This window comes from Homo sapiens, chromosome 6 (genome assembly GCF_000001405.40).
Source record: "Homo sapiens chromosome 6, GRCh38.p14 Primary Assembly".
In the NCBI taxonomy this organism is placed as follows: domain Eukaryota; kingdom Metazoa; phylum Chordata; class Mammalia; order Primates; family Hominidae; genus Homo; species Homo sapiens.
Window position 1 is genome coordinate 93,849,282 of NC_000006.12, and position 5,812 is coordinate 93,855,093.

The window sequence follows — 5,812 nt, forward strand, 5'->3', positions numbered from 1 at the left end:
AAAGTAAGGCTAATATTACATCTGTATTGTGAAGGGGACATGAGACAAGGCATGTTTGAAATACTTTAATGTACAAAATTATATGTTTGTAGTACAGCAACAGACAGTGGTTCAGGTAGTTGACCACAGAACATTATTAAAGCTACAAAAATGTAGCAACAAAATCAGATACAAAAGAGAGTTAAATAAAAGTCACATTTTAAAAATATACGCTACAAAAATATCTCTAAAACAATACTCAAAATGTTATGTCAGAAATTATAAACTATAAGTCACACATTTTCATTTTCTGGCCTAGAGTTTTGAATGAATTGTTATAGATGTAAGGCAAAAATTATTGTAATTTATTATATATCACATTTAAAACTTCTACATTCTTTTCTAATAGTTACTTAATAGATATTAATCTAAAAGTGTGCCTCATAGATTTTTGCGGGGAGAGTTATACATGATACACTTTATTTATGGCAGTGGAAGTAATTGAATGCCTGTAGGTAAACATCAACAAAAGAGAGTGGTAGTCTCAAAAGAAGCTGCTATGAACTGAACCGTGTTCCCCTAAAAATCATATGTTAAAGCTCCAACCCACAAAGAGACTGTATTTGGAGATAGAACTTTTATGAGGTAATTAAGCTTAAATAAGGTCATAAGGTTGGGGTTCTAATCCTTGTAGGATTGGTGGCCTTACAAGAAGAGGAAGGATCACTCTCTCTCTTTACACTTATGTACCTAGGAGAGGCCATGTGAGCACAGAGGGAGAAAGTGGCCACAAGCCAGGAAGAGAGCCATAACCAGAACCCCACAGTGCTGACACGCTGACCTCAGACTTCCAGACTCCTTCAGACTCTCGGAGAATAAATTTCTGTTGTTTAAGTTACTCAATCAGTGATCAACAATACTTTATTACGGCAGCCGAAGCTGACTATTACAGAAGCAGGGTATTTAAATTATTCACTTATGTCTGAATAATTTTATGTCATGGAAACTGTAAAGTCCTAAACATTGTGTACTTAAGAGTGCTAGTTTTATTATTGAGCATAGAACAGAAATGTACAGCATGGATTCCTACGTCACTTTGTAACAAGAGATTTTCATAAGATTATCAATATCAGAGTCTAGGAATGTAAAAAGATATTTTTACACCATTCTCTCTTTCTCTCCTTTCACATATCTAAAAAATGAAAATGGCATATATTTTATATTAAATATTCTCAGTTATATAACACCTTTTATTGAAGAGGACACAGTGAATATATATTTTTCAAAATCAATGCTAATAGTTTATTTTCCATATTCATTCTAAAATATACACAAAGATCGTAATAGATAAAAAGAAATAAGTAGTAGTTTAGAAAGTGAAAGTTATTAACAGTGATATTTTTAAGATAGAATCTTACCATTCATTTCCATAAAGAAAACCTGGTATGTGTTCTTAAAAAATTTTTTTTTTCAATAGCTTTAGAGGTACAAGTGGTTTTGGGTTACATGGATGAATTGTATCATGGAGAAGTCTGGCAATTTAGTGCACTCATCAGCCAAGTAGTATGTATTGCACCCAATAGGTAGTTTTTTTTTTTTTTTCACTGCCGCTCCCCCACCCCCGTCGCCACTGAGTCTCCAATGTCCATTATATTACTCTGTATGCTTTGCATGCTCATAGCTTAGCTCCCACTTATAAGAGAACATATGGTTACTAAGTAACATTCCTGAGTTACTTAGAATAATGTCTTCCAGTTACCTCTAATTTCCTGCAAAAGATATTATTTCATTCTTTTTTATGGCTGAGTAGTATTCTGTGGTGTGTATATCAAATGAGTGGATAAAGAAAGTGTGATATATGTATATATATCACCACTCATTGGTTGATGGGCACTTAGGTTAATTCCATATATTTGCAATTGTGAATTGTGTCGTGATAAACATATGTGCAAGTATCTTTTTGATACAGTGACCTCTTTTCCTTTGGGTACAACCCCGATAGTGGGATTGCTGGAAGAATGGTAGATCTACTTTTAGATCTTTGAGAAGTCTTCACACTTTTTCCATAGAGGTTGTACTAATTCACATTTCCTACCAACAATGTATAAGCATTCTTTTTTCATCACATCCACATTACCATCTATTTTTTTTGACTTTTTAATAATGGCCATTCTGGCTGGGGTAAAGTGTTATTTCGTTGAAGTTTTAGATTGTAATTCCCTAATGATTAGTGATGTTGAACGTTTTAAAATATGTTTGTTGGTCATTTGTATGTCTTCTTTTGAGAACTGTCTATTTATGTACTTTGATTTTTTTTTTCTTGCTGATTTGCTTGAGTTTCTTGTAGATTCTGGATATTAGTCCTTTGTTGGATGGATAATTTGCAAATATTTTCTCTCACTCTGTATGTTGTCCATTTATTCTGATGACCATTCTTTTGCTGTGCAGAAGCTTTTTACCTTAATTAGATCCCATGTATTTAGTTTTGCTTATTTTGCATTTACTTTTTTATTTTTATTTTTTTGCCTAGGCCAATGTCCAGAAAAGATTTTCCTAGGTTTTCTTGTAGGATTTTTATGGTTTCATGTCTTAGATTTAAGTCTTTAATTAATATTGCGTTAAGTTTCATACACAGTGAGAGGGATTCAGTTTCATTCTTCCACATGTGGCTATCCAATTTTCACAGCACCATTTATTGCATAGGGTGTCCTTTTCCCAGTTTATGTGTCTATGTGCTTTGTTAAAGATCAGTTGGTCATAAACATTTGGCTTTATTTCTGGGTTATCTGTTCTGTTCCATTAGTCTATGTATCTACTTTTATACCACTACCATGTTGTTTTGGTTACTATAGCCTTGTTGTATAATTTGAAGTTGGGTAATGTGATGCCTCCATACTTGTTTTTGCTTAGGATTTCTTTGGCTATTCAGTGGCTATTATCCTTTCTTGGTTCCATATGAATTTTAGGATTGTTTTGCTAATTCTGTGAAAAATGATGTTTGTATTTTGATTGAAATTGCACTGTATCTATAGATTGCTTTGAGCAGTCTGGATATTCTTATGATATTGGTTCTTCCATTCCATGAGTATGGGATGTATTTCCCTTTGTTTGTGTCATCTATGATTTATTTCAGCGTGTTTTGTAGTTCTCCTTGTAGAGATCCTTCATCTCCTTGATTAAGTACACTCCTAGATATTTTAATTTATTTTGGGGAGCTACTATAAAATTTATTAAGTTCTCAATTTGGTTCTCAGTTTGGTCATTGTTAGTGTATAGCAGTGCTACTGATTTGTGTACATTGATTTTGTACCTTGAGACTTTCCTGAGTTCAATTATCAGATCAAGGAGTCTTTTGGAGGAGTCTTTAGAATTTTCTCTGTATCAGATTATGTAATAGGCAAATGGATAGTTTGACTTCCTCTAGTCCAATCTGGATGCCCTTTCTTTTGACTTATTGCCCTGGCTAGGACTTTCAGAATCATTTTAGAGAAGTGGTGAAAGTGGGCATCCTTGACTTGCTACAGTTCTTAGGGGGAACACTTTCAACTTTTTCCTGTTCAGCATGATGTTGGCTGTGGATTTGTCATACACGGTTTTTATTACTTTGAGGTAAGTTCTTTCTATGTCTAGCTTGTTGAGGGTTTTTAATCATAAATAAGGCTGGATTTTATTAAATGTTTTCTCTGCATTATTGAGATGATCATAAGGTTTTTTATTTTTAATTGTGTTAATGTGATGAATCACATTTATTGTCTTGCATATATTGAATCATCTCTGTATTCCTGGCAAGAAACCCACTTCATCATGGTGAATTTTTTTTATCTGCTGTTATATTTGATTTGCTAGTATTTTGTTGAGTATTTTCACATCTATATTTATTAGGGATAATGGTCTGTAGTTTTTTATTGTTACATCCTTTATTGGATTTGATGTCAGGGTGATACTGGCTTCGCAGGATGACTTAGGAAGGATTCCCTCTTTCTCAACCTTTCAGAATAGTTTCAATAGAATTAGGACCAATTCTTTGAATGTTCAGTAGAATTTGGCTGTGAATCCATCTGGCTCTGGGCTTTGTTGTTGTTGTTGGCAGTTTTTAAAAAATTACTGATTCAATCTCTCTACTTGTTTCTGGTCTTTTCAGGATTTCTATTTCTTCCTTATTCAAGCTAGCGGGGTTGTATATTTTCAAAAATTTATGCATTTCCTCTAGAATTTCTAATTTGTGTGCATAGATATGTTCATAGTAATCTTAAATGGTATTTTTTATTTCTGTGCTGTAAGTTGTAACATCTCCATTTTTATTTCTAACTGAGTTTATGTAAATTTTCTTTTCTTGGTTAATTTAGCCAGTGATCTATCAACTTTGTTTATCTTTTGAAAGAACCAACACTTTGTTTCATTGATCTTTCAGTTTTTGTTTTGGTTTCAATTTTATTTAGTTCTCTTCTAATTTTTGCCATTTCTTTTATTCTGCAAGATTTGGGTTTTGTTTGTTCTGGTTTCTCTAGTTTCTTGAGGTGTGATATTAGGTTGTCAATTTGTGATCTTTCACTTTTTTTTTTTTTTTTATTTGGAGATGGAGTCTCTCTCAGTTGCCCAGGCTGGAGTGCAGTGGCGCGATTTCGGCTTACTGCAAGCTCCACCTCCCGGGTTGAAGCCATTCTCCTGCCTCCCCCCGCCCCCACCTGCCCCTTAGCTGGGACGGCAGGCGCCCACCACCACGCCCGGCTAATTTTTTGTATTTTTAGTAGAGAGGGGTTTCACCATGTTAGCCAGGATGGTCTCGATTTCCTGACCTTGTGATCCGCCTGTCTCGGCCTCCCAAAGGGCTGGGATTACAGACGTGAGCCACAGCGCCCGGCCACTTTCAGACTTTTTGATGTAGGCATTTAACACTATACACTATCCTCTCGGCATTGCTTTGTCTTTATCCCAGAGATTTTGGTAACTTGTGTCACTGTTATCATTCATTTTGAAAAATGTTTTGATTTCCATATTGATTTCATCGTTAACACAAAAGTCATTCAGAAGTTGATTGTTTAATTTCCATGGATTTGTATAGTTTCGAGGGTTCCTTTTGGAATTGGTTTCTAGTTTTATTCTGCTGTTTGAGAAGATATGTGATATAATTTCAATTTTTAGAAATATATTGGGACATATTTTGTGGGCTCTCATATGGTCTATCTTAGATACTGTTTTATCTGCTGGTGAGAAGAATGTATCTTCTACAGTTCTTAGGTAGAATGTTCTGTAAATATTAGGTCTATTTCTTCTAGAGTGCAATTTAAATTCAGTATTTCCTTGTTGACTTTCTGCCTCAATGATCCGTCTAGTTTGTCAGTGGAGTGTTAAATTACCTCACTATTACTGTGTTGCTATCTGTATTCTTAGGTTTAGTAGTAAGTGCTTTATGAATCTGAGAGCTCCAGAGTTGGGTGGATATATATATAGGATTGTTATATTTTCTTGTTCACTTCATCCTTTTATCATTATATGACTTTGTCTTTTTAAAAAACTGTTGTTTCTTGAAAGTCTGTTTTATCTAATGTAAGAATAGTTACTACTTTCTATTTGTATGAAATATCTTTTTCTACCCCTTAATCTTGAGTCTATAAGAATACTTACATTAGGTGTATCTCCTGAAGAAAGAAGATATCTAGTTTGTGATATTTTTATCCATTTATCCATCTGTATCTTTTAAGTGGATCATAGAGACCATTCATATTCAATGCTAATATTGAGATGTGAGGTACTCTTCCAGTCATTGTCTTGTTACTAGTGAGTTTGTTTTCTGCATTGTGTTATTGTTTTATAAGCACTGTGAATTTTTGTG

General features: G+C 33.9%; 1 annotated feature.

The window, feature by feature from the left end:
- Window positions 4,716-5,216: an enhancer, noted in NCBI's record as "H3K4me1 hESC enhancer chr6:94563715-94564215 (GRCh37/hg19 assembly coordinates)". NCBI's record gives its function as "activates a minimal SCP1, AML or CMV promoter by ChIP-STARR-seq in naive H9 embryonic stem cells {active_cell/tissue: H9 hESC(naive)}" and the evidence as "EXISTENCE:reporter gene assay evidence [ECO:0000049][PMID:30033119]".